At 51.5% G+C, this 25,862-nt stretch overlaps 3 protein-coding genes across 41 annotated transcripts in view, besides 7 other annotated features; 1 reads left to right on the top strand and 2 right to left on the bottom strand.

The window, feature by feature from the left end:
• GBF1 (golgi brefeldin A resistant guanine nucleotide exchange factor 1) overlaps window positions 1–18,207 on the bottom strand; it is a 152,254-nt gene extending 134,047 nt beyond the window's left edge. For 34 of the 37 annotated variants that reach the window (NR_165086.1, NR_165089.1, NR_165088.1 and 31 more), the window contains exon 1: window positions 3,069–3,318. The gene's annotated coding sequence lies outside the window, so the exon portion shown is untranslated. Of the gene's footprint in view, window positions 1–2,969; window positions 3,319–17,933 lie in introns of those variants that run through there. The other 3 variants (NM_001391924.1, NM_001391923.1, NM_001377141.1) reach the window with 3 other exon arrangements.
• Window positions 2,861–3,310: an enhancer, noted in NCBI's record as "active region_3926". NCBI's record gives its function as "activates an Ori minimal core promoter by ATAC-STARR-seq in GM12878 lymphoblastoid cells {active_cell/tissue: GM12878}" and the evidence as "EXISTENCE:reporter gene assay evidence [ECO:0000049][PMID:35858748]".
• Window positions 3,511–3,570: an enhancer, noted in NCBI's record as "active region_3925". NCBI's record gives its function as "activates an Ori minimal core promoter by ATAC-STARR-seq in GM12878 lymphoblastoid cells {active_cell/tissue: GM12878}" and the evidence as "EXISTENCE:reporter gene assay evidence [ECO:0000049][PMID:35858748]".
• Window positions 7,187–7,476: a silencer, noted in NCBI's record as "silent region_2754". NCBI's record gives its function as "represses an Ori minimal core promoter by ATAC-STARR-seq in GM12878 lymphoblastoid cells {active_cell/tissue: GM12878}" and the evidence as "EXISTENCE:reporter gene assay evidence [ECO:0000049][PMID:35858748]".
• On the top strand, window positions 7,338–18,661 carry PITX3 (paired like homeodomain 3). 2 transcript variants are annotated; one of them, NM_005029.4, is made up of 4 exons: window positions 7,338–7,517; window positions 16,758–16,887; window positions 17,060–17,262; window positions 17,749–18,661. In NM_005029.4, exons 2-4 carry the CDS (start codon window positions 16,770–16,772, stop codon window positions 18,334–18,336), a joined length of 909 nt encoding a protein of 302 aa, NP_005020.1. In that variant the 5' UTR covers window positions 7,338–7,517; window positions 16,758–16,769; the 3' UTR covers window positions 18,337–18,661. The 2 variants fall into 2 exon arrangements, with proteins under 2 accessions (NP_005020.1, XP_047281308.1); XM_047425352.1 differs by lacking the exon at window positions 7,338–7,517 and having other exon boundaries at window positions 16,450–16,887.
• Window positions 18,098–18,197: a silencer, noted in NCBI's record as "silent region_2753". NCBI's record gives its function as "represses an Ori minimal core promoter by ATAC-STARR-seq in GM12878 lymphoblastoid cells {active_cell/tissue: GM12878}" and the evidence as "EXISTENCE:reporter gene assay evidence [ECO:0000049][PMID:35858748]".
• Window positions 18,208–18,467: a silencer, noted in NCBI's record as "silent region_2752". NCBI's record gives its function as "represses an Ori minimal core promoter by ATAC-STARR-seq in GM12878 lymphoblastoid cells {active_cell/tissue: GM12878}" and the evidence as "EXISTENCE:reporter gene assay evidence [ECO:0000049][PMID:35858748]".
• Window positions 18,824–18,992: a silencer, noted in NCBI's record as "fragment chr10:103989615-103989783 (GRCh37/hg19 assembly coordinates)". NCBI's record gives its function as "represses an EF-1alpha promoter that drives an FKBP-Casp9 reporter gene in an ReSE screen in HepG2 liver carcinoma cells {active_cell/tissue: HepG2}" and the evidence as "EXISTENCE:reporter gene assay evidence [ECO:0000049][PMID:32094911]".
• On the bottom strand, window positions 19,261–24,083 carry ELOVL3 (ELOVL fatty acid elongase 3). Of its 2 annotated transcripts, XM_011540245.2 has the most exons (5): window positions 22,938–24,083; window positions 22,201–22,416; window positions 21,093–21,224; window positions 20,282–20,433; window positions 19,261–20,025 (listed from the first exon to the last, which is right to left on the bottom strand). In XM_011540245.2, the coding sequence occupies exons 2-5, from the start codon at window positions 22,299–22,301 to the stop codon at window positions 19,598–19,600; spliced, it is 813 nt and encodes a 270-aa protein (XP_011538547.1). In that variant the 5' UTR covers window positions 22,302–22,416; window positions 22,938–24,083; the 3' UTR covers window positions 19,261–19,597. The 2 variants fall into 2 exon arrangements, with proteins under 2 accessions (XP_011538547.1, NP_689523.1); NM_152310.3 differs by lacking the exon at window positions 22,938–24,083 and having other exon boundaries at window positions 22,201–22,551.
• Window positions 22,520–22,569: a silencer, noted in NCBI's record as "silent region_2751". NCBI's record gives its function as "represses an Ori minimal core promoter by ATAC-STARR-seq in GM12878 lymphoblastoid cells {active_cell/tissue: GM12878}" and the evidence as "EXISTENCE:reporter gene assay evidence [ECO:0000049][PMID:35858748]".
• Window positions 24,084–25,862: the final 1,779 nt, after the last annotated feature.

Here is a 25,862-nt window from a genome sequence, read left to right as displayed (position 1 = left end):
CAGCCTGAGCAATACAGTGAGACCTTGTCTCTACAAAATATTAAAAAATTAGCTGGGCATGATGGCGCACATCTGTGTTCCCCGCTACTTGGGAGGCTGAGGTAGGAAGATCACTTGAGCCCAGAGGTCAAGGCTGCAGTGAGCTGTGATCGTTCCTCTGCACTCCAGCCGGGGTGACAGAGCAAGACCCTGTCTCAATAAAAAGAAATTAAAATTAAAGACAAAAAAAAAATAAAGGCATGGGTTGTCCAGTACACAACAGTCCCCACTAATCCTAATACATTCCCATGGGACTCAATTAACTCATTTACATTACCTGCCTGGCATTTAGGCACATGAGCTCGTAACCCCTGGTTTATATGATTGGCAAACCATTACTTTGCCATCATACTTCCATGATCATTTACACTACTATTGCATCTATCGTAATTTCCACTACTACTAGAACAAATAATCACTTCTATGATCACTTCTATTATTATTGGGGTTCCAAATCAGCACACTGCTTTATTATATTTTCATTTAGTTAAACAACTGCAGTTGAACATACTGAAATATTAAAAAAAAAAAAGAGTAACAGCTAAACAGCAGCTCATTATATTTACATAGCTCTTCTAGCCTGAGGATAAAATGTCAACAAAAACATACACCCTTAAATTCAATCCCACCATTAACCCAACAACAGAATCATTCTAATCAGTCACACAGAGCCACAGGGATATAGTGTGTGATCAATCAATGAGAAGTGTCATACAAAGATTAGGGTGATCCTTGCAGTGAGTACTCTATAAATAGAGTCTCCTCAAAAGCAAGAGCTGTGTCTTCTTCCTCTTTAGCTGCCCACAGCAGCCAGTCTAAGTACCCTATCAATGAGGTTATTATGTGAAAGTGGCAGTCATCCTGACTTCTGGAAAAGAGGGAAATAAAATAGTAGTGTAACTTTGAGAACTCTGAGCTGAAACTGGGATTGGTGCCCAGCTACTGAGGAGATATGTCTATAGCCTGAGTTCCCACTGTGCCAATGAGCATCACTGTCAAGACTGGAACATACTGTCTACAAACACCATTAAAAAGAAGCTCAAATACAAGCTTGGGACTTGTATTTGAAGGATGAATTTTCTGATTTGTGGGTAGGAGTGGGAATTATTCCTATCTAGAAAATTATTCCTATCTAGAAATGACATTTAGGATTAAAAAAAAGAAAGAGAGAGAAAGAGAAAACGTTTTGATGCCTCTATAGTCACCCTTAGGCTCAACTGAGGATGACTGGATCCTGGATTGATCACACTGCCTACCCAGAGACTAGATTGCCTGTTATGCAAAGCATATCAACTCAACAGGGCAATGGCCCAAGTGAGCAAGGCAGGATCATCAAACCTGGGTACCTCCTGAGGTATGTCATTTCATTTGCTGCGTTCAACTACTTTCTTGGGGGCGGGGAGAGGGGAGGAATTCTACAACTTAGATCAGCAAGTTAAAATGCAAATAGTTTCCTGTACCATTTCCATCTAAATCAACACAGGTGAAGCATAAATAATGCCATCCCCCTTCTCCCAACACACACAAAAATTTCAATTTCATAAGGACGAAGGTAGGAAGGGAAAAGGGAAATTATGAAATTTCAATTTCATAAGGACAAAGGTAGGAAAAATTGAGTTAGTCATTCCAAGATCCTAAATAGTTTTCTCTTCTGACACTATGAGGTTTTGATCCTCCTTGTTACTACCTCATCATGCAAAAGTGCAAAGTGTTCCTGACTGCCAGGGCCAAAAGCAGGCCACAAGTCCTGATCACATACTGAAACTAATCCCAGATAGAGATAACGTTTATTGAGTGCCCACTACATACCAAAAGGTATTAGGTTGATCCTGCTCTTAACCTACTACATGCTCTAGCTAGGCCACTGCACATACATGCTACTACTTTTAAGAAGTGCATTAACTGAGCAGTCCCAAAGCAGACCTTTCCATTTGTATCCTCCACAGGGCCTAGAGTGCCTTTTATACCTGAATTAATGCACAAGTTTCCACATTGTGCATTAAAAAACACCATCTACACTATTCCTTATTTCTAAAAGCATTCGTTACCCTTGGTGGACTTTTATAGCTTTACAACACAGCAGTTTATCAAAGGTCATCACAGTGCCATAAACTACTCTCTAGGGTTATGTTCCATCATTCACTCTGGGGCTCTGACCCTACAATTGGCTGAAAATCTCTCATGACTCTTTTTGCCCACTAAACATAATAGGCCGACAATACCAAACTTTGCCAGTATTCAAATATCTCTCTCTGCTGTCAGTCAAATATGTCATAATAGAGTGGTTTCCTTATGATTAAGCCTCATCTCCTTAGTGAAGATCTGAGAGAAAAATGTCAACAAAAACATACACTACAAAAGAATGCCTGTGAAAGATTGTATAAAGGAACAAACAGGCCCAGAAGATAAGTATAGTGTTTACATACAGACCCAGACTGGCAGCTGAGCTGTCCTGTAAGAGGGAAGCCTTCTCATAGCCCAGTTCCCTGCGCTGCTATAACCTCAAGCCTTCCACACGTCCCTCTGCTGACAACCTGATTCTAGGGTGCACTAGTTCATCATTATTAATGAAGCAGTTCCTTTGTATTAGTGAGGCAATCACAAAGAAGTAGACGCTGTACAGAATCTAGAGAGACTTTCACATCTAAAGTCTGAAAACCCATAAAAGTAGACACAATGCTCCTTAGGTTTGCTTTCAGCTTTTGAGTACTGGGCTCTTCAGGATGCAGAAAGCGCTGGAAAGGAGAAGCTAAATACTAGGTCAAGCCTGGGAAAACAGAAGATTTGGGCACCTGCAAAGGATCAGTAATGAGAGCAGAAATCGCCCCTCCTGCGGCAGAGGCATGACCTTTGCCCCTGCATACCTCCCTGTTCCCTCCCACAACAACCCTTCCCTCGTCTTATTCCTGTCCGCTGCGTCCTTAGCCCACCTTGGCTCGCCCAATTTAAGGGCCCTTCCCACTAATTCCCTATTGCGATGTCAGGGCGGCCTTCACGACACCGGAACTCTAGGAAGAGACTTCGCTGACCTGTCAGCGGATCCAAAATGGCGGGGCCTAGTCCCAGGACCGGCAGCCGCTGCTCATGTCCAGCCCGCACCCCGGAGGCGTCTCCGAGCAGCTCTCCCGGCTCTGGTAGCAGATGGGAGAAGAGAAGGAGCCTGTTTCCTGGAAATTGAGGCCGAAGTCAGGGTGGGACTGCACAGTCCGCCAGGATGAGTCGTCCGGGACGGGCAGTAGAGCCGGGTACCTTCCCTGTCAGCTCACTGACGTGGTAACTAGCCTCAGTCTAGCCCGCTGCCTGGTAACTGCGCGAGCCCTGCCGCGCGCAGCCAATCATAGCTTTGCACCGTGAAAAGTAGCATTCCGACTATCCAATCGAATAAAGGAAATTGGCTTCAGGAGGCGGGTAGTGCCTAAAGAAGCGCGATTACAAGGGAAAGAAAGGGTATGTTAGGGGACAACCAACGGATACGAGTACTCTCTGAGTGACAGTTTAAAAAACCAATAAAAAATGAGGAACTGGGCTGGGCGGCTAGAGAGGTGGAGTTAGGTAGAGTTCGGTTGCAGTGCGCGGTTTGGCAGTGGCTGCTGGGCATTATGGGGAAAAAGGCTACAATTGGCTGGAAAGGGGCGGGGTCCGCTTTGAGAACTTGAGCGGGCATCCCTACTCCCCTGTCCACGTATTATCAAAGTTACCTGGGCCAAGACCATGCCCCTTGAGGAATCACTCCTTTTCGAGGCAGCTCTGGGCTCCCTTCATTCTAAAAACAAGTCCAGCGATCTATTCCACACCCTGCTCTCCTCGCCCTCTTGTCCACCTTCCCTGTCGTGGCTTCTCACAGTTATGTCTGTCACGTCCCAACTCTGTTTCAGCGTCCTCTGCCCCACTCCCATCATCCAGAAATAGAGAAAATGGGACGTAGCAGAAGCCCTGGATATCTAATTTAAGTCTCTTCATTTTACATTATAGGAAACAGCCCCAGGGTGGAAGGCTGGGCCCATGTTCACATAATTAGTAAATAGCAGAGCAGAGAGACGAACCCCTGGGTCTCCTCACCCCCAGGCCAACTCTTTTCATCGCCTTTTGTCACCTCTTATGCCTTAGTATATCGGGCTTTGACTCCCGGTCTGCCTTTCATACCAAGCCTTTGACGGGCCTTATCCACCAGGCTAAATACGCAGCTTAGCCCACCTCATCAGTGATAGGAAACAGAAGTCTTTCTTGTTTGCCTTAGAAACGCTAAGGGGCCTGAGGGTTGGATGCCCACCTGTTTTCACTGTCTTGCCCCCAGCTGCCTCCTCCCCTTGCAAGAGATGATAGAGGTTACTAAGCTATTTAGAATTACCTGTATTACCTGGAAGTGAGAATGCGTGAGAAGAGGACAAGAGGATGGGTTTTCTCCTAGGAGACTGAATCATGAAATTCCCAGCCTATTTGGGACACTAGAGCCCCAGTGTCCCTGCAGACCTGGAGAAGCTGCTGGGAGGCAGTGAAAAAAAAATACCTAATTCTTTCCATACATCCTCCCAATTATGGACGACCCAAGTCCAGGGAAGCTCTATAACTAACCACATAGGAAAGTAGTCTCAAAACCAGACATCCAAAGACCATCCGTGTGCTACGATGCGCTATTTTTTTGTTTTGTTTTGTTTTTTTGTCTTTTGTTTGTTTGTTTGTTTTGAGAGAGTCTTGCTTTGTCATCCAGGATGGAGTGCAGTGCTGTGATCTTGGCTCACTGCAACCTCCACCTCCTGGGTTCAAGTGATTCTCCTGCCTCAGCCTCCCAAGTAGCTGGGATTACAGGCATCTGCCACCACACCAGGCTAATTTTTGTATTTTTAGTAGAGATGGGGTTTCACCATGTTGGACAGGCTGGTCTCGAACTCCTGACCTCAGGTGATCCACCCGCCTCAGCCTCCCAAAGTGTTGAGATTACAGGTGTGAGCCACCACACCTGGCCACGATGCTCTAGTGTAAAGCACCCATCAGATATCAGACGTGAAGAACCCCTCAGTAACTTCCTACACCTGCACATTGGGCTTCTGGTCGGTGGGTCCAGCTGAGGATCTAGCCTCTATCACCCAAAGAGAGTCAGGGAAAGAGGATATACCATCATAGCACCTCTTTCCACATTACCTCAAAGCCATTTTCCTCTTCATTTGAAAACTGAGAGTTGGTGTCCTGGGCCTGTCTCAGATTGAGAGGTCCTGGAAAGCCGATTGGAAAATCCTCTAAGTGGGCCAAAAATTTCTGCTCGCCAATATCTACTTCTACATACCTCCAGAAATTCATCATTCTAAAAGCATGTGATTGTGCAATAGAGATGGGGAGGAGAGAGATGACAATTCCCTAGTCCCTCCTAACCACTAATCATCATCTTACCAGGCAGAACATCTTCCTCATAGATTTCAGTGTGACATTTATTGAGATTCTACATTATGCCTGGGAATAACAGACATGGTCCTTACCCTCCTAAATTTTATTATCATAGCAGACAACACATAAGCTGATCCCTTCAATATGGTGGGTGGTGTAATAGAAGGTATACACTGAGGGTCATGAGAGCAAGGGGCTAAACTGAGAGTTCAGAAAAGGCTTCCCAGAGAAAATAAGACTTGAGTGGAACATTGGAGGAGTAGGAATTGACAATATAAAGATGGGTTACTTTCACAGGAAGGGCCAGAGGTGTGCAGGACACTACTAGGAAATTGGAGATGAAGACAAGGTCAGGTCCTGAAGGTCTTGTATGCCAGGCTAGGGAGCTTGACCTTTATCCTAAGGGCAATGGGAGTCACTGAACAGTCAAGACATGACTGCTCAGATTTGCCTTAGGGGCATATTGTGTGACTGGGCTTAGGCTCTTTTTTTTTTTTTTTTTTGAGACAGAGTCTTGCTCTGTCGCCCAGTCTGGAGTGCAGTGGCGCGATCTCAGCTCACTGCAAGCTCTGCCTCCTGGGTTCACGCCATTCTTCTTCCTCAGCCTCCCCAGTAGCTGAGACTACAGGCACCCGCCACCAAGCCCGGCTAATTTTTTGTATTTTTTAGTAGAGATGGGGTTTCACCGTGTTAGCCAGGGTGGTCTCAATCTCCTGACCTTGTGATCCGCCCGCCTCGGCCTCCCAAAGTGCTGGGATTACAGGCATGAGCCACAGTGTTTGGCCTGGGCTTAGGCTCTTCGGAGCACCCAAGCAACATAGCCTAACTGGGAGAAGAGAAGGAGCCTGTTTCCTGGAAATTGAGGCCTAAGTCAGAGAGGGCCGAAGTCACAGTCTGCCAGGATGTTCCTTGGTCATCTGTCCTGTCCCTTGCAAATTCCTAACCAGCAGGCACCAAGGCCACACCTTGCCCACAGGACTTAACCTGGTACCACCAGCGGGAAACCAGCCCTGCTGAAGGAGGGAGAGCACAGCCTAAGCAAGACAAGGGTACAGACTGAAAGGCAATGCCTTTGGAGTGCCCAGCCCAAGCCCTGAGATCCAGCAGGAACCTCCTCTTAATTGTTTTGCGCGGGGAGGGAGATGATAGTTACTCGTCCAAGTTCACTCAGTGATGGTGCAGTTCGTGGCAGCGTTGGAATACTACTTTGGTTTGTATCATTCCAAACCCTGCTGTCTCCACGAAGTCACCTTCCTTGGAGAAGAAGGGGGAAATGAAGAAGAGGAAAGATATGAGGAAAGAGGAGCAGAGAGAAAGAGAAATGAGTCTTTTAAAGTGGCAGAGGAAGGAGAATGGTAAACAGCAGGAGCGAAGCGGCTGAGGAGAAAGAAGAGGAAAGAAAGGCGAGACGTGGGAGGATTGGAACAGAGACAAAAGGGAGGAGAGACGGACAGCGACAAGTGGAGAAAATCGGCGAAACTTGAGTGGCAGAGAAGTCTGAGCGCTGAGACCCGGCGGCCCCGTGCGCCTTCCCACCTGGCGCCGATCCACTTTCCTCGGGGTAGCGGCCCAACCCACTTCGCTGCCAGCCGATCCCTTTTACCCGTGGCTACCGGGACCACTCTACTCTCGCCCACTTGGCTCTGCCTAAGCGTCCTAGCCGGAGCGCGGTCTCTGCCACGTGGGGAGGGGCGCGGCCGAGTTGCTGAAGAGCGCTTCTGATTGGCCAGAGGGCGGGGTTCTTGGCGTCTCGCCGGCCAGACCCCTCCCTCAAAGGCGGGGCCTGGAGATCCACAGCTGGAAAGGGCGGAGCCCCAGCAGGGCAGCTGGAAAGGGGCGGGGCCTGACGCGCGCGGCTCGCCGCGGCGGGCTGGGGGCGCCCTGGTCTGCCATAAAGTGAATGGGCGCCGGCTGGGGGTGGCAGTACGCGGTGAGGCTCACTCCCTCCGAGAGTCCAGGAGCGCCCGAGCGGAGAGGCGGCCCGGGAGCAGGGGGGCGGCCCCCACTCCGGCCGGGTGCCCGGCCCCTGGCCCCTGCCTGCCCTCTAGATCGCCGCCGCAGCCGCCGCTACTGGGAGTCTGCCTGTTGCAGGACGCACTGTGAGTGTTTGACCATTCTAAGGACAGGGGCTCATGGGGCCGAGGAGCTATTGCTGGACCTTGGAATCCCTAAAACGAGACCTGGGGCAGCTGAACTCCGGTGCCTTGGGAACAGGTCGAGAATGGGAGGGCGGACTGCAGACCTGGGGCCAGGACTTGGGAAAAGGGAAACTCAGGGTAAGAACCAGGGGATAGGGAAGGGGGAGACTCAGAGGATCCGGAACGAAGCCGGAGACTTGAAACCAGGATAGGGGCTTCGCGAGGCAGGGAGTAGGGAGTCTGGAAACCATTACCAGAAAGCGCCCTGGAATCCCAGGGCACGGGGCAGGCGGCCAGGGAGCGAAAGGGGTTACAGAGGCCCTGGCCAGCGGGGGAGCTGGCGGGGCGGCCCCCAGTGTGGGGGCAGTTGACGGCGCCCGATGCCCCTCGGCCTAGGCTCAGACTCCTGGGGCTGGGAGCCGGGGTGCGCCTGGTCGCACACGCTTCTCTTCCCAGCTGCTCCGCAGTTGGAATAGGAGCTGTGTTGTGAGAGCCCGGCCGCGACTGAGTCAGATGGCCGCTGTGCGGATCAGAGTGACCAGGCGGCGGGTATAGTGGATCTGGCTTGGGGTGTCTGGGCCCAGAAGGGTCCTGACTTGAGGCCGCCTCAGAATCGGACAGAATGTCCGCGGTGCATGGGGCTCGGAGCGGACAGAATGTCCGGGTAGCGAAGTGGGTCTCTCCGGAGCGGGAGTTGTGTCTGGCAGTGGCGGACAGAATGTCCCTGGCTGGGTGGCATGTCCGTCTACCCAGCAGCGCCTGCCCAGCTGCTGCGTGTGCGATGGGGTCGGCTGCGGTGGGTCACCTCAAATCCCAGCTCACACTTTGCAAACTTGTTTCAGCTCCTTCGGGCTGCGAAGCTGTGAGCAGGGAGCGAGAGTAAAGGCTACAACCTGGCCTTGGGGTGAGGTGGGCTGGGACACATGCCCCCTTCAATTCAGAATAGATCAGAGCATCACTCTGTACTTCCAGAATCCAAATTTGAGGACAGAAGGCCAATGAGGAGCCTGCTAGTGGGAATCAAGACCAGGAAAGGAAGGAATAGGTGACAAAAGGCAATGGGAAAACAGGAAGGAGCTGGGTACAAGCCCCTGGCAGCCTCAGTTGCCCCCTAATTCCAATACAATTAACCAGACACCCCCCAGACTCCTTGCTGGAGTATCAGGCGACCAATGGCTCCTTCCCTACAGTGGGCAGGAGCCCAGGCCAGAAGAGAAAACTACAGCCCCATTAGCAAAGCAAATCCTGTGGTCCTGTTTCCCTTTTTCTTCCTCAGCCCTACCAGTCCCAACACCACCCTGGTGGCTGAGCGGAGGTGGGAAGGAGGCTCATGGAATCCAGACTCTGGAGTCCAACAGGGGGCTATCTGGCCCTCTCAGTCTGGTTGGGAAGGATATCTTGGCCCTACCTAACAGCCGGGTTTACTTTCCCTGCAGCTGGGATACAGCCCTGACTCTGCTGGGCCCATACAGTGACCATCCACCCTGACCCCAATTCTAACCACAGCTCAATTATGCTGAAGAGGACAGAACAGGGAGAACGAGTCCATATAAGTGAGCAAGATAGCCCAGCTGGGGACTGAGTTTTCACAAGGACAAGTGCAAGGCATTGTATTTAGCAATGAGTAATCTAAACAGTGGTTTCAACCTTTCTTACCCTTCACCTGTGAGTGACATACAATACGTATTCCCCATACTCCCATGTCCATTCCTCAGTTCTAAAGTTTGCTTATTACTGGCTAGGATTCTCAACTTTTGTTTTTCATTTGCCCTATTTTGATCAATATAAAGACACACCACAATTATCCCCATCACATTCTGATACACTTTTCAGGGGCTTGTGCTCCCATTGCTGTGCTCCCATAAAATCACTGAAATTATAGGTGAAATGAAGGACTCTGTGTCAGGAAAGGAACAGGGAAAGCATTACAGATGGTTCCCTGAAGACTTTAGCTCAAAGTTGGCTTTTGCCAAAAAGGCCAAAGAGGTGGTATCATAATGAAGGTGATTGGAAACAAAAGACAGAACCTTTTCCCACCCTTGCATAAAGCCTTGTAACTGAACGCATGCCTGGTCACTGGCTCTTAGGAAGAATGTCATGGGCCTAGAGTAGGGTCAGAGAATGATTGGCAGAATGGGGAGCCAGGGGTTGCTGGTGAGGGCAAATTTCAAAGTTTAGTCCTCTGGAAGGTGAGACAGGATGGAAATCTACAGCATAATAAAAGACCTAGATATGCAGAAGAATTGCTTGCTCCCCAAATCTTGAAACTGGAGATGAGGGGGCCTTTTAGAACTGGAGTGATGCAAGCTCAGGATGAATAGAAAAATGTTCTTTGGCACACAGTGGGCAGCATACTTCCAGAGCTCATTTCCAGAGAGATGATAGAGGCAGGAAGTAGAAATGGAATCCTTCAGGGTTTGGAAGGATCAGCACATGTCAGAGTCACAAATGGCTACAGGGTGGAGGGAGTGAGGCATGGAAAGAGCAGAACTAGATGGTTTGAATCTCTTCAAATCTCTTCAAACTGTGTAACCTTGCATCCTGCCTTCTTAGAGGTGTAATGGGGATAGGCACTCCAGCCATGCAGGGCAGTTGTGCGAGTTAAATGAAATTATGTCTGTGAAGGCCCTCTGCAAATGGAGGAGCATCATATAAATAAGAAGCACTGCTATTATTATGCCCAAGCTGCAGAATCTTTGTTTGGAAAAGTGGGGCTGAGACTTAGAGCAGCCTAATCTCATCCCTGATGCAGCCATAGGAGGGATCTTAATGACAGACGGGCCACCCTATCGTGGACTTCAGATGCTGGCCACTACCCCTGCCGCTGTCTGAGAACTCTGGGGAGCTCCCCAAATGCTCAGCCTGTCTACCAGGCCAAATATCTCTGCCTGCCTCCTGCTCAGGGATGGGAACATTGGCCCAGGACTCAGGTTCAGGACGGGAGGGCAAACGCAGCAGGCTAGAGCTGACTTGTGGTGACTGAAGGATGGGGCCAGTAGAATCTTTTCTTCTCCATTCACACTAAATGATGCCTCCTAGACTAACCTGAAGGATCCATTAGGTCCTGAGCTTTGGGGTGTCTAGGGTGTCCATGGCCACTGCCAGGGACTCATGAAAAGAATGATGGGGAGGAAAAGGAAAAGATCATCAGTGGGGTAAGAGTTGGGGGAAGACAGAGAGGAATAACTTTCAAAACTCTATCTCTCCTTTCCCATTGTCCTGCCCCGGGGCCTTTTTTACACCTTTCAGTTAATAGTTTCTCCTTTCCTATTTCTTCCCTGCCCAACCCTTTATGCTCACCATGGTCAAATAAAGGTCACAAAGATGCTGTTTTTTGTCACACCCCTGGATACAAGCCTCCAGTGACCCCTACTGCTTGGTGCATTGCTTCTCATAGTGGGGTGGGCGGGGGAGGAGGGCAGTACGGGAGTGGAGGAGGCATGACACACAGTCTAAACAGGGCCCATCTTCCTGGTGTGGTGATATCACTTGAAGATTGGGGGGTTTTATATTAAAAAAAGCTTTATTTTTATATTAAAATATTTTATAATCCATGACTAAAGTATGGAATAGAACGAAAAATTTGTTTGCATTTTTAACATAAAGCTGGTGACCTCAAAACAATTTCATACTAGTGGCAGCTGTTTCAGGTCATGCTTCTGTTTTCTAGTAGATGTTGTTTTTGACTGGTCTTAGGGTTTTTTTCTTTATTCAGGGCTGTTGCTCAGTGTGAATCTTAGCGGTTTTTGATGAAAAAGCTGGACATACTGTAGCCTAGACTTTGTCAAATCTGAACCACTGCCCCTTGTCCCCCATTGGAGGCCCCCTCGGTTTGACTCGTTTCTCTCTGCAGATCTCCCGTGGCCTACACTGAGACTCTGACTAACCTAGGCTCACCACTGCCCTCCCAGCCTGCCAGCTTATTCCCAACACTGCTGATTATTTAGAATGCCATACCCCTTCTCTTCCTCTTGAACTCCCAATTCAGTCACGTGCCTATATTCTCTGAGCTCCCAACACTCGGTACCACCTTCCATGGGCTTCCCTCTCTCTGATCTCCCACAGTCTGGGAGTCAGACCCATGCGGTCCATCTTTCCATCCTGTGCTCTGTTTGCCTCCCTACACTGCAGACTCCTACAAGATAGGGTCTCTGCCTTACTGTTCTTGGGATCCCTCTTAACACCTAATACTTGCTGAAGGAAGGAAGCAAGGAAGAGCAGGAAGACTGTGGAGTCATTTCTCTGATCCCCGAATCGTCCCTTAATAACTTGAGTGCTTCAAATCTTTGCTGCAAATGTGTCTCGATTTGCTCCCATTTGCACACTGCAGTTCAGCAAACCATAGAGTCTGGGTGCTCAGCGTCCCTAATGAACATGCAGCCATGTCCACTTAAGGACCTCACTTCAGTTTCATGTTTATAAGATGAAAACATCACAACTCCAGCTCCTCTCATCTCTCCATTTAGCCCCTGAATGAGAAAGGTTTTCTCCTATTTGAGTTCCAGGTTATGCCTCCAGCCTCAGGCATTATTATTGCAACCGATTGTGGGCTCTCACTATGTCCCTGGTCTACCTCTCTGGCTTCAGGACTTAAGTGGGTCCACATGACAGCTGACTTATTGCCATGGGGTTGTGTCTCTTGGAAACCATGGCCTCCCCACTGTGGCCTCCCTGGCCTGGGATCTGCTCTCCACCTTCATATGTCCTGGATATTTCATTCTTGCTGCAGTCCATGACCAGGCTTCCTGTAATTCCAGCCTGTACTACAGAATCAGAGCATACCTGTAGGCCCTCTGTACTCCCTGGGCCTGGGATTGCCACCCTGATACCAGTGGGACTGGGCCACACATCCCTCACATCCCTAGCAGGGTGTGGCAAAAAGTCTAGGGGTGGGGCCGGCAGCCCCCTTCCAGAGCTGGACTCACCATCACTGTTATCTTCTGACTCTCTCTGTCCCTGCCTGGGCATTTCTTACTAGCATCAACCAATCCTGCGGCTTCCAGACCTACTGCTTGTTCTTCCCTATCCACTGAGTGAGGCGAAGTCCCTGGCCTCAGTCCCAACTCCCTAGCTTCCTGACCTCCAGCAGTTTGGGGGAGCTTAATCTTCAGCCAGCCTGTCTCCAGCTCAGACAACAGCTTGGCGCCCCCAGCCTTTGCCTGACCAGCCCACCCGGACGTGAGTCGGCTAGAGGTCTATGCCCCCACCCTTCCATCTCTCTATTGCCTGCCTGGCTTTACTGTTCTTTCCTTCTCTCTTCAGTTTCACGGTCAGGTCCCTTCTCAGCTGTGGCTCCTCTCTCTGCTGTTACTAGCCCATGCAAGAGCCTAAAGGCTTCATTCTTTCCTCTACCAGTCCCTTGTCCCCAAAGTGGCTCCCAGCTTGGGTTACTCTGCCCATTTTGCTGTTACCTTGTTGACTGGGTCACCTATGCTCAGGACAGAGTGTTCACAGCATGTGTTGCCTATCTCTCAGTAATGCAGCGTACTCACCTTCATTCACCAGGGAAACACTTCACTGGAGGATACAGAGTCTGGGCAGATGACTCACTCAAGGAAGGGCAGACACAGGGATGAGATCTTAGCCACCACTCCACCCTCAGTGCCTAACTCAATGCCCAGCTCATAGAATGTGCTAAATAAACATTTGTTTAATGAGTGAGGAAAAAAAACTACTCAGGTAGAGTTTTATCCCTACTCATATTTACATGTTTATGTTTTTATCTAAACCTTATAACAACACTGAAGGCAAGTAGGGAAGGGATCATGAACTTCCTTTCGGAGATGAAGAAATGTGCTCAGAGAGGTAAAGTAACTTGCCGAGGACACACAGCTAGTAAGTTGTACAGCCAGGACGTGAATCTAGATCTGCTGACTCTAAACCTAATTTCTTTGGGCTATACCAGATGACTTTCCTGAGAGGGGCCTGGGCACTTTCTGCCCCTCCTCCCCACCCCATCCTCTAGCTCCAGCATTCTCATGCCTTCTCCTCACTCAGCAGCATCCAGTGCAGAACACTCCCCTGGCCCCTTGGCCTGCTCCTCCCCCACACAGAGTCCTTAGCTCCTGGGACTGAGAGCTGAGGTTCAGAGGGGCCAGGGAGGCGGTGGGGGGGTGGGGGGTGGGGGAAGGGTAATAATGGCTAGCTCCAAAACAGCCCCGGCAGCTGTCCCTGTCACAGAGAGGAGACTGTGTGACGGTACGTGTCTGTCTGCCTGGATGTGGCAGCGCATGTGTGGGAGAGTGTGTGTTTGTGTGCCCCTAGCTCCAAGTCCAAGTGCTTATTATGTCTGAGTGGGGGCCTGTGTGTGTCTGCACATGTGTCTGTCTGTCTCTGGGAACACGCAGCCTGAACTCGGCTTTCTGGCCTCGGCTTTTCCTCGCCCATATCCCTTCTCACCCTGCCTCCCTCTGCTGAAATAAAGTGAAAGCAAGATGCAGGTATGGAATGCCGGGGACAGGGTAATTTGGAAAACTGCAAGTCGGGAGCCAAAGCTGACTGGAAGGCTAGGTGGCAAGGGTGGGACTGCTTTTCCCACAGGTAAACCCCTCTCTGGGTTTTTTCCCAGCTCCATGTTGCTTCCATGGCCTCTGGAAAAGTCAGGGGGATGATTTGCATTTCAAGGGCATCTTGGGTATGAAGTAAGGGGTATGAAGTAAGGGGAGACTTCAGAGCACCCCTTTTTCCAACTCTCAGTTCTAACCCTTCCTCCCTCATCTTCCCAGCCAAGGCTACCATAGTTCCTTCTCAGGGACATCTCCCTTCCATCAGAGCATTGTTGGCCAAAGTTTTCCAGCTCCAAACCCCCTGACCTGACCCGACCTGGAAGGGGAAGTAAGCTGAGCACACCTCCAGTTCTGGCCTGACTTTTCTCCTGTCCTGGGTTCCCTCCAGCCCTGTCTCTTCACACCCAATAAAAGGTCCAAGATCTAGACCCCTCTGCCTGTGGAAAGAGCAGGGACTCTTTCTCAACCTCCTGCCTTGACCTCGGTTCCACTCCCAACCTGGCTTGAGAGGTGGGGTGGGGAGTGGGGGCACAGCTGTGATCTCTGAGCTGTTGAAGGGGGCATTACCATGTGCAAATACAGGCTGCTGCCCATCTGCACCTCCCTGAGAAAGGCTCCTAATAAATCCAGAGCAGCCAAGTGACACACATCTCAATCTAGGCTAATCCACCACATTAATGCCATCCTGTGCAGCCTGCATTAAGCCCCTGTTAATGGGGAAGGGGTGAGAGAGGCAGAGAGGCCCCTCCCACTCAGCTCTCTACCCCTTCCCTCTGTCCCTAGCCTCCTTCTGTTCTCCTCCAACCAAAAGGCACCCAGAGTCTTGAGCCCCAGTATTGCCCATTTCCCTTCCTCGCAGCAGAGGGGTCCTGGGAGAGCAGGCAGAAAAGGGGACCCTGCGGGGGAAACTTGGAGAAGGACCCTGGGAGGCTCCTGGGCAATGTGAGGCTAAGTTTGGGAAAGGAAGTATGAGTAGGAAGGTGGTCTAATGAAGCTCCTGCCTATGGCCTGGAGCAGGCTTGGTAGAGGCTGTCCATGAGTGGAGCAGTCACTGGTGGGATGCAGTGTGTGTCGGTGCAGGCATGAGACCAGGCCCGGCCCAAGCACCCAGTGGTTTTTATACTTGTGTTTGATCTTGTTACCTTCTTTCAAATGAAATCTCTTCAGAAATAATAAACAAAACAGGCTGGGCATGGTGGCTCACACCTGTAATTCCAGCACTTTGGGAGGCCGAGGCAGGCAGATCACCTGCGATGAGGAGTTCGAGACCAGCCTAGCCAACATGGTGAAACCCCGTCTCTACTAAAAATACAAAAATTAGCCAGGCGTGGGGGCACGTGCCTGTAGTCCCAGCTACATGGGAGGCTGAGGCAGGAGAATAGCTTGAACCCTGGAGGTGGAGGTTGCAGTGAGCCGAGATCATACCACTGCACTCCAGCCTGGGCAACAAAGCGAGACTCCATCTCAAAAAAAAAAAAAAAAAGAAGGAAAAAAAAAAAAGAAAGAAGTCGTAAACGAAACAGACCAAAGCAGCGCTGCCCTAGCTGAAGCCGACCCAAGCAAGGCCAGGCTAGAACCGCAGCTGAGTCCCTGAGCGAATCTCGAGGGAAGGCCCCAGAAAGCACAGTGTGAGAAAACAAGCGTTCTGAGTTGACTGGATCAGAAAAATAAAATAATAATAAAAGAAAAATAAAAAGCAAACAAAGAAAAAGCATTAGGAGTCTCACAGACCTAGTTCAGATCTCAATCCCACTGCTTACAAGCTCTGTGAGCCTCATCAAGTTCCTTCAAGTTACGGTTTCCTCAGCAGAAAAAGGATGATCATACTTGAGGTATTCTTGTGAGGGGAGAGAGAATGAGGTAAAGGCTCACAGTAAGTATACATTATTCTTAAGGGAGAAATATCAGGTCTGGTTCAAAATACAATCTGTCCTAAGGAGAATGGGTAACAGACATCTGGTCTGTGTCTCAGGTATGATTGGCTGAGGACCATGTATGAGTATAGGGGGATACTAAGCATTCAGGTGAGAAGGATTTTAAGTTTTTGCAGATGTAGTATAGGGTATGTAGCGTGCTATAGTGTAGATTTTGTTGTTGTTGTTTTTTGAGACAGCATCTTGCTCTGTCACCCAGGCTGGAGTGCAGTAGCACCATCTCGGCTCGCTGCAACCTCCGCCTCCCAGGTTCAAGCGATTCTCCTGCCTCAGCCTCCCGAGTAGCTGAGATTACAGGCACGTGCCACCCCGCCCAGCAATTTTTGTATTTTTAGTAGGGACGGGATTTTACCATGTTGGCCAGGCTGGTCTCGAACTCCTGACCTCAGGTGATCCACCCGCCTTGGCCTCCCAAAGTGCTGGGATTACAGGCGTGAGCCACTGCGCCCGGCCTATAGTCTACATTTTTATTAATTCAATAAATATTGAACCCCAACTGTATACCTGGCACAGTTCTAGTTCCCAGCAGTAAACGAAACGAAGTCTAGTTTATATATCTATGCAGAGAACCTCTCAGCATGCACCTCTGCGTCCTTAGGATGCTATTTCCCGATTCTATCCTAAGGAGCCCCACGCAGCCCCAGCTTTACGGCTGGGGTTGAGAAAGGCGCCAGGGAATTTACGAGGAAACGCTGCTGGGACCTAGCTAAGCCGGAGATTTTACCCCCATTACCCTGGTCTGTGTCTTCTCTCGCCTCCAGAGCCCTCCCTCCATGGAGTTCGGCCTGCTCAGCGAGGCAGAGGCCCGGAGCCCTGCCCTGTCGCTGTCAGACGCTGGCACTCCGCACCCCCAGCTCCCAGAGCACGGCTGCAAGGGCCAGGAGCACAGCGGTAAGCGCGCCCCCTTCCGGGGGTGCAGGACATAACAGCTTCATCCCCAGTGCGGGTGGGACCCCGGCTGGGCAGCCCCGGTGGGAGCCAGCGAGTGGCTTAGGAGGTCCCCGAGCCGGAGAATATGCGCTGGCTTGGGCGCTCTGTGACCTGCCCCCACCCTGGCCCCCAGACTCAGAAAAGGCCTCGGCTTCGCTGCCCGGCGGCTCCCCAGAGGACGGTTCGCTGAAAAAGAAGCAGCGGCGGCAGCGCACGCACTTCACCAGCCAGCAGCTACAGGAGCTAGAGGCGACCTTCCAGAGGAACCGCTACCCCGACATGAGCACGCGCGAGGAGATCGCCGTGTGGACCAACCTCACCGAGGCCCGCGTGCGGGTATGCTCTCCAGACCCGCGACTCGCACCCGCGCGGGCCCTCCGCGCTCAGCCTGCGACCCGGAGGCCAGCGGTTCCACCCCACCTGCCCCCTCCCTCGGACCCCGGACCCCGGACCCTGGCTCCCGGCCGCAGCCCCACGCGGTCTCTTGCCCGCCAACCTCCAGCCTCTGCTCCCACTGCTCCCTACTACTCGGACCGCGCGCTTCTTCGGCCCTGACACCGTCTCTCCTTCCCCTCACCACCCCTCCTCAACCCCATCCTACTGTCCCGCCAGACCCTGGCGCCGATGACTCGGTCCAGCCGCCCGCGCCTTCTGTTCTCCGACCCCGGACTCCGTGCGCTCCTTCCCTCCCACCCCGTCTCTAGCCACCTCATCTCGTTTATTGACCGCAGGGCCCCGGCTGGAAGCCCCGTCGGGGTGGCCCGCCCTTCAGCCGCTGGGACCCGGCCCCGGGCCCTGACCGCCTTTCTCCCGTGCCCGCAGGTGTGGTTCAAGAACCGGCGCGCCAAATGGCGGAAGCGCGAGCGCAGCCAGCAGGCCGAGCTATGCAAAGGCAGCTTCGCGGCGCCGCTCGGGGGGCTGGTGCCGCCCTACGAGGAGGTGTACCCCGGCTACTCGTACGGCAACTGGCCGCCCAAGGCTCTTGCCCCGCCGCTCGCCGCCAAGACCTTTCCATTCGCCTTCAACTCGGTCAACGTGGGGCCTCTGGCTTCGCAGCCCGTCTTCTCGCCACCCAGCTCCATCGCCGCCTCCATGGTGCCCTCCGCCGCGGCTGCCCCGGGCACCGTGCCAGGGCCTGGGGCCCTGCAGGGCCTGGGCGGGGGCCCCCCCGGGCTGGCTCCGGCCGCCGTGTCCTCCGGGGCCGTGTCCTGCCCTTATGCCTCGGCCGCCGCCGCCGCCGCGGCTGCCGCCTCTTCCCCCTACGTCTATCGGGACCCGTGTAACTCGAGCCTGGCCAGCCTGCGGCTCAAAGCCAAACAGCACGCCTCCTTCAGCTACCCCGCTGTGCACGGGCCGCCCCCGGCAGCCAACCTTAGTCCGTGCCAGTACGCCGTGGAAAGGCCCGTATGAGCGGCCCCGCCCGTAGATCATCCCCGAGGGCGGGGGCAACGATTCACAGCCTCCGCGGACTGGGGTCATTTTGACTGGCTTGCTCCCGCCCCAGGGTCTGAAAGGGGTGTTTGGGCAGCTGGGGGGCACCGGCTCAGGAGAGGGCCTTCCCCTCCCAGCCCTGAGGGGTGGACTAGGCCCTACACACAGACCGCGCCCCTGGGACTAAAGCCAGGAACAGGGACCAGCTCCCCGGGGGCCAACTCACCCTTGGCCCATCCCGCCTTCTCCAGGCTTCCCCTCCCTCGTTTTCAAAGATAAATGAAATAAACGTGCGCGGACTGTCGAAGGCGTGATGATTCAAAGTTGCGCTTGAGTCCTCTTCCCTTCATCCTCCCCCACTGTCTACAGGCGAGCTGGATGTACAGGAACGAAGTGAGGGTCCAGGCTTCTAGGGACTCAGTCCCACTCACCACCCCCCCTACTCCAGGTCGGGGCAGCCCGGGATTCCTGCAGCAAAGAGGTGCGTGCGTGCGGGGGACGTGGGAAACCGGCTACCTGGCTGGCATCGGCCACAGCCGGTGCTGCGGCGCCACCTCGTGGTCTCAGGGAGGCTAGCTGGTAGATCTGGTCTCCAACGCTTCCTTGTAGGTGTCAGCTCTGCTATTCAGGGAGCCTATGACTTTAGATAAAGTTACTCCGCCTTTCTGCACCTGTTTCTCACTGTTCCTATGAGGGGCTTGGGTCTCTAACAGCAATAAAATTCTGGTCTGTAACAGACATTTGTTAAGTGCCTACCAGGCCTAGGATTCTTTCAGTGTCTGTGTGTGTGCCTCTCACCCTTCCACACACCCTCAGGCGTCCCACCTGCAGATCATCCCCTTGGTAGCAGCCTCCTGCCATCACAGCAGCCCTCTTTCCCCCCAAATCCCCCAACTCTCAAAATTTTGTTGAAATCTTTAATTTAAAAAAACAGAGCAAGAAGAAGAAAGATTTCTGGATAGAAATTAAATAATCAGCTCTTAGGACCCTCCTCCGCCCCACTCCCATCCCAGGGCCTGCTTGGCCTTCACATTAAAAACAGAAACATTAAAGTAACAGACCACACCCCCATCCCAAGGTCACCCTTCTTGTCTGTCAAAAATTCCAGCCACCTTGGGGCACACATCCTCTGGGGAAACCATGCAGGTAAGGCAACCTAATCATTCTCCCAAAACTAAGCCCAGCCTCTTGGTGCCCTGGAGAAGAGAGAGCCTGGAGCTTCATTGTTCTCTCCAAACCTTCACTGGCTCTTGGTCTTGGCTTTGACCTTGGGCCTGATGTAGGTCTGGCAGAAGAAGTGGGCAAAGAGGATGAAATAGGTCATATACAAGATGAAGGACCAGAATAAGTGTTCCATCGTGGTGTGGCATCCCTGATCCTGCCTCCAGATGTACGTGAGGATGCTGACGATGGCTCCTACAAACATCTGCAAGATCTGCAGGCTGGTGATGAGCATGGGCAGCATCTTGGGGGGCTTCACGTTGGCAGCCTTCAGAGTGTAGTAGGTGTACATGATGGCATGAACACCAAAGTTCATGGTGACGAACCAGCCTCCTGCAGGCACTTTGTTCTTGTATCCAAAGCTTGTGTACACGAGCACTGTGCTGTGGTGGTACCAGTGAATAAAGATGAGTGGCCGCTTACGCAGGATGATGAAGGCTGTGTCTCCTGGGAGATGGAGAGTCATAGTTGGCATACCACCCAGTGCTGGGACCACCCTCTGCACTGGATGTAGGGACACGGGAGAAATTCTCAGGGGAGGGAAGGGGGTCTTTGTGGCAGAGAATCTGTAGAGGGGCTTGGGTGAGAGGTATTATTGGGACCCAAGGGTAGGAAAGAGACCCTCCATGGGATGGGTGAAGGGAGGGCCCTGAGGAAGGATGCAGTTCACAAGGCACCAGAAAGACAAAGCTTTGCCACTCACCGAGTTCTATGACCTTGCTGAGAAGAAAGACCCAGGACCAGAATTTGACTGTGGAATTATCGATGAAGTTGATGAAGCACACGGTTTGCTTTAGGCCCCCGGTAAGTAGCACAGTCCCCATAATGCCCCACATCCTCACTGCCCCCAGGATACTGAAATGGGACAAAGGAAGATGGTGTAAGTGTCATCCCCAGGCACCAATAATCCACCCTTCCCCCGGCTTGGCCAGGTTACTGTGTTCCAAGCTCTACCACCTCCCCACCTGTCCACAGGGGGTGGGTCAAAGCTCCTGAGATCCTGAAGCCAATCTGGTAGATCCAATCAGTAGTCTAGAGGAGACGAGGGCTGGAGAAAGATCAGGGAATGCAGGGGGATGGGACTGAAAGTTGAGTTAAGGAATGGGGTTCTTGGGAGGGGTTAGGAGCCTGGGAGGAGATGTGTAGAGGGATAGGGGAAGACTGAAGGAGTTTGGGGGAGAAAATATGGGGAAGTTATTGGAGGGTCTTGAGAGAGGGTGTTAGGAGGTGACACTATTAGAGGCTGGAGAAATTAGTTGCGAGTACAGACTCTACGAAGGCAAGAGGGACAAAGCAGAGACCACCAGGTAGGGGTCTAAAAGAGAAGGAAAACAGGATAATATAACAGAAGAGGGTGAAGGCTGGGAGGGGAACTAAAGCCGAGAATGAGATGGGGAGAGTGTTACAAGGCAACTTGGGGACAGGATGGAGGTTGATGCAATCGGGAAAGCTTCAAGGGATAGAATGGTGGTCTAAGATCTAGAGAAGAGGCAGGGAGTGGGATGGGGTCTTACCTGAAGATTGCAAGGCAGAAGGACCAGAGGATGAGAGGCCCTTGCAGGTTGAAGCCCTTGCGTTCCTTCATGTAGTTCTGCCCCACAGCGATGAGAACCAGGTAGATCAGGGCTATGGGGAATGAGGTTGCCCTGGCAAGCAGAAGGCAGAGGGATGGGCTCATGGGTGGGTGCTGATTAGAGAAATGCCCACTCATCTCTCCAGGTGAGTGCTCTGGGTTGGAGTCCCAGTTCTGCCACTTACTAGCTATGTGACATTGGAAAAACCAACTTAATTCTCTGAGCCTTGGCTTCCTCATTTGTAGAGCGCGAATACTACATCTCTCCTGGGGGTATTAACGTATACAAAGTATCTAGCACAGGGCAGGAGCTATGTCCAAGGTTTCTGTGATTATTGCTCTCTCAGTGGGGTTAGAGGTGGGTGACGGCTGTCTGGCCCGCGCCTAGAAGCAGCCCAGGGCTGTGGTGTAAGAAGTGTGGCAATAGCTTCTCCCTGGTTGGGGCTCCTAGAAGCATACCAGGGCTGTGGCGTAAGAAGAATGTGGCAATAGCTTCTCCCTGGCTGGGGTATGGCAAATTGGTTGGAGCATAAAGTCAGCCTCCAAAACCTCTGGGGAGCTTTAAGGCAAAGCCAGAGAGCTCTTCCTGGGGAAAGCTTGGAAGAGCTCTCTGACTTCGCCTCCTTCTCCACAGCAGGAACGGTGGAGCACCTGGGGAACGATGGGATAATTGTAAAGGGCAGGCTGTCCCCCGGGCCCTGCACTGTGCACACACGCGCGCACACACAGCCACAAAGGACGGGGAAGTCATCTAGTAAGGCTTCAGATCAACCTCACGCCTCCAAGACCCTTCTCACTACACGCTCTCTTTGACTTCTGTATATTTCCACGTTCTCCCTCATCCTCTTATTTCTGCTTGCTTGCTTTCAGCTCTAATCTCTTTGAGGTGCCACATACTACCTGCACCTCGGACAAAGGTAGTGTGAAGCCAGTACAAGGGAGTCCCATAACTCTGCTCTGTAAGAAAATCATTGTGGGCATTCAATGCCACCCCCTCGCGCCCCGGCCCCGGGGCCCTGGCATGGCCTTTCCCTCTCCCAAAGTCTCACCAATACTCCTCGAAAAAGGGCCTCATGTCCTTGGACAGCTCGAAGTTATAGGGCTGGAACAGCTGATTTACTTCATGTGAGACATTCATGGCTGTGACCATCTAGTTTTGCAGAAGTCAAGGTCCAAAGCTTGGAGGCGCTGGGTGAAAGGCTGGGGCTCCGAGGATGGCGTGAACCTCGGGGCGAGACGGAACAGAGCCGGGACAGAAGGAACTCCTGGGCAAAGGGAGGAGGGCGTCGAACCTAGGCATGTGCGCGGCGGCGCAGCCAGCTATCCCGGGCGCAGCCACTGCGATATATAACGCGGACTTGCAAAGCTGCCTGCCCGGGCTGGCGCGACCTCTTTCCTGCGCCCCGCCGCTATCCAATCTCGACCAAGATACGCCTCTGCTCCGCCCCTGGGACGCAGTCCGCATTCTGATTGGTCATACTCAAGGGCCCGCCTGCCAGGCGTTTCGCACACCCCGCCCCAAGTCCCGTCGTAGGCCATCGCCCGCCCACTTCCCCAGCCTTTTCTCCCGTAAAACGTCCACCCCATCCTGTGCGGCCTTGCGGGTTCCCTTGGAACTGTCAACCGTGGCCTTTGCCTCGGTTTGCTTTAATCTTGACCTGCTTAGCAGTGAAGAGAGAGGAAAGGTGTCCTTAGGCTTTGGTGCTCCCACCCAGAAATGGAGGCGTCAGTTTCCAGGCTCCCTGAGATCCTGGGAAACCCAGGCCTGTGATGAGCAAATACTAACCTGGGCAACGCAGAGCTTCTGTAGTCCCTTCCACCTCCTAGCTTCGAGTCTGCGGTTGTGAGTGGGTGGAAGGAGATGAATTTTAAGGAGTTTTATTGTTGAGGTTGTTGATGTTGATGTTTGGGTTGTTGAGGCTGTTGTGGTTTCTTTATAGTTTCCTGAATTCCTGAACTGCTCCAGACTGACAGTAATAACCATGGAGAGAGGAAATGGGGTCACCCTCTGGGCTTCTGGAATTATTGTCTTCAGGTTTCCTGGAGGCCTCTTAGGGTTTAGGGAGGGGGAGAGCCAGTGTATCTCCCCAAGGCCTGTTGTTTTCTCTCCCTAACCAAATCTACTTCTTTCTCGCCTGTGTAACCAGCCCCAAAGAAATAAATGTTCTAAAACTTTTAAAAGTTTTACTTGGCTGTCCCTTATTTCTTTCCTAGGTTTTATGAAAGCGAAGGAGAAATACAAGGCTTGAGGGCAGTTTGAGATAAGGTGGAAATTTGCAAAAAGTGCTAAGAAACATAGATATAAAATAATTAAAATCAAGATGTGGGTATAAATGGCTATGTGCAGTAAAGCTCTAGAGCCAGAGGATCCAAGTAGGAACCCCAGCTCTATTTCCTGAACCTCAGCCACTGTCTATGCGAGGGTGTAGTGGAAGTCCTATCAGTGCCATCTAAGTGACTCAAAAGTGCATCTCTTTGTCTCTGTACCTCATCACTTCTCACCTGGTCACGTTACCTGGTTGCACTGCCTCTTTCTCTAATACAGTGCTTCTGCTCTTCACTGCATTGCAATCAGAAAAGAGTTCCTATACCTGGCTGATTACCAGATTCCTGAGCCTCAACTGCAGAGATTCTGGTCCTATAGGTTGTCTCAGACTGTACTTGGAAAACCACTACTTTCTGTTTGCTCATCCAGAAAACAGCTCTGCTTTCCTGCTTAAAAACCTTCAGTGGTTCGGCCGGGCACGGTGGTTCACGCCTGTAATCCCAGCACCTTGGGAGGCCGAGGCGGGCAGATCATGAGGTCAGGAGATCGAGACCATCCTGGCTAACACCGTCAAACCCCGTCTCTACTAAAAAATACAAAAAATTAGCCGGGCGTGGTGGCAGGCGCCTGTAGTCCCAGCTACTCGGGAGGCTGAGGCAGGAGAATGGCGTGAACCTGGGAGGCAGAGCTTGCAGTGAGCAGAGATCGTGCCACTGCACTCCAGCCTGGGTGACAGAGTGAGACTCCGTCTCAAAAAAAAAAAAAAAAAAAAAAACCTTCAGTGGTTCCTGATGGCTCCATATATAGCCTGACAGCTAATCAAAAGGTGATCAATACATGTCTATGGATGAATGAATAAATAAAAGAATGAATATTACAAGAATAATGCCATCTAGGTCTTACAAGACCCAAGTTCAAGTCCCAGCACCCCCATTAATGAGCCATGTGATTTTAGGCAAGTTACCTAGCCTTTGTCACATTCTACTTCAGAAAAAAATGCATATAGTCATACTCGCCTGCTTATGTCACAAGGTTGTGATTAGTATGCAAGCCAGATAATGTAGATAAAATGATATTGTGGACTAGACACATGGAAATGGCAAGGTGAATCATTATGGGAGGTTTACAAGTGCATATGGAGAATATATACTCAGTCCTGGATTTCTCTGTGAAGATATTTAACATTGTCTTTCCCTGTGAGGTTTAATGGTGAGGCTTGGAGGAGGTGTATGTGGAAGAGGGAAAGAAGAACACTCGGGGCTGGGCACGGTGGCTCACGCCTGTAATCCCAGTACTGTAGGAAGCTGAGGTGGGGGGATTGCTTGAGCCCAGGAATTTGAGACCAGCCTGGGCAACATGGTGAAAATCCATCTCTACAAAAAGTACAAAAATTAGCTGGGCATGGTAGCGCCCACCTGTGGTCCCAGCTACTCAGGGACTGAGGAGGGAGGATCACTTGAGCCAGGGAGGTCAAGGCTGCAGTGAGCTGTGATCGTGCCACTGAGCTGTGATCACACCACTGCACTCCAGCCTGGGTGACAGAGTGAGACTCTGTCTCAAAAAAAAAAAAAAAAAGCTAGGTGCAGTGGCTCACGCCTGTTATCCCAGCACTTTGGGAGGCTGAGGTGGGCAGATCACCTGAGGTCAGGAGTTCAAGACCAGCCTGGCCCACATGGTGAAACCCCATCTCCACTAAAAATACAAAAATTAGCTAGGTGTAGTGGCGGATACCTGTAATTCCAGCTACTTGGCAGGCTGAGGCAGGGAGAATTGCTTGAATCTGGCAGGCGTGGGTTGCACTGAGCAGAGATTGTGTCACTGCACTCCAGCCTGGGCAACAGAGCGAGACTCTGTCTCAAAAAAGAAAAAAGAAGAGGAAAAATCTTCAGAAATTATATTCTAGAGGAAACATTCCTTGACCCTTGGACTTGGTCTGGTACCCTTATTTTATATAAACTGTTCTCAGAGCATGGTATTTCTTTTCTTCAGTGAGAGTTTATAATTAGTTGTTTTTGTGATTTCTTGATCAATGCCTGTTTTTCCTACTAGTTCTTGAGCTCCATGAATGCAGGGACTATGTCTATTTTTTAAAATTTTTTATTATGAGACAGAGTCTTGCTCTGTCGCCCAGGCTGGAGTGCAGTGGCCTGATCTTGGCTCACCGCAACCTCTGCCTCCTGAGTTCAAGCGATTCTCGTACCTCAGTCCCCTGAGTGCTGGGACTACAGATGTGTGCCACCACGCCTTGCTAATTTTTGTGCTTTTAGTAGAGACAGTTTTCGCCATGTTGGCCAGGCTAGTCTTGAACTCCTGACCTCAAGTGATCTGCCCACTTCAGCTTCCCAAAGTGCTGAGATTACAGACATGAGCCACTGCCGGAATATGTCTGTTTTTTTCATCATTCTCCTAACCCTGAGCATAACCCAGGTAATATTTGTTGCGCAA

The sequence above is a fragment of the Homo sapiens genome, chromosome 10 (genome assembly GCF_000001405.40).
Source record: "Homo sapiens chromosome 10, GRCh38.p14 Primary Assembly".
NCBI classification, from domain to species: domain Eukaryota; kingdom Metazoa; phylum Chordata; class Mammalia; order Primates; family Hominidae; genus Homo; species Homo sapiens.
This window is presented reverse-complemented; position numbering and strand designations above follow the sequence as displayed.

Excerpts from the sequence above, each read along its gene's own strand:
- ELOVL3 (XM_011540245.2), bottom strand. The coding sequence starts at position 22,301 with ATGGTCACAGCCATGAATGTCTCACATGAAGTAAATCAGCTGTTCCAG. Across the intron at positions 21,225-22,200 it reads CCCTTTTTCGAGGAGTATTG|GGCAACCTCATTCCCCATAG; the intron begins GTGAGACTTTGG and ends TCTGCTTGCCAG. Across the intron at positions 20,434-21,092 it reads TTCTGCCTTGCAATCTTCAG|TATCCTGGGGGCAGTGAGGA; the intron begins GTAAGACCCCAT and ends GTCCCATTTCAG.
- PITX3 (NM_005029.4), top strand. The coding sequence starts at position 16,770 with ATGGAGTTCGGCCTGCTCAGCGAGGCAGAGGCCCGGAGCCCTGCCCTG. Across the intron at positions 16,888-17,059 it reads CAAGGGCCAGGAGCACAGCG|ACTCAGAAAAGGCCTCGGCT; the intron begins GTAAGCGCGCCC and ends CCTGGCCCCCAG. Across the intron at positions 17,263-17,748 it reads TCACCGAGGCCCGCGTGCGG|GTGTGGTTCAAGAACCGGCG; the intron begins GTATGCTCTCCA and ends CCGTGCCCGCAG.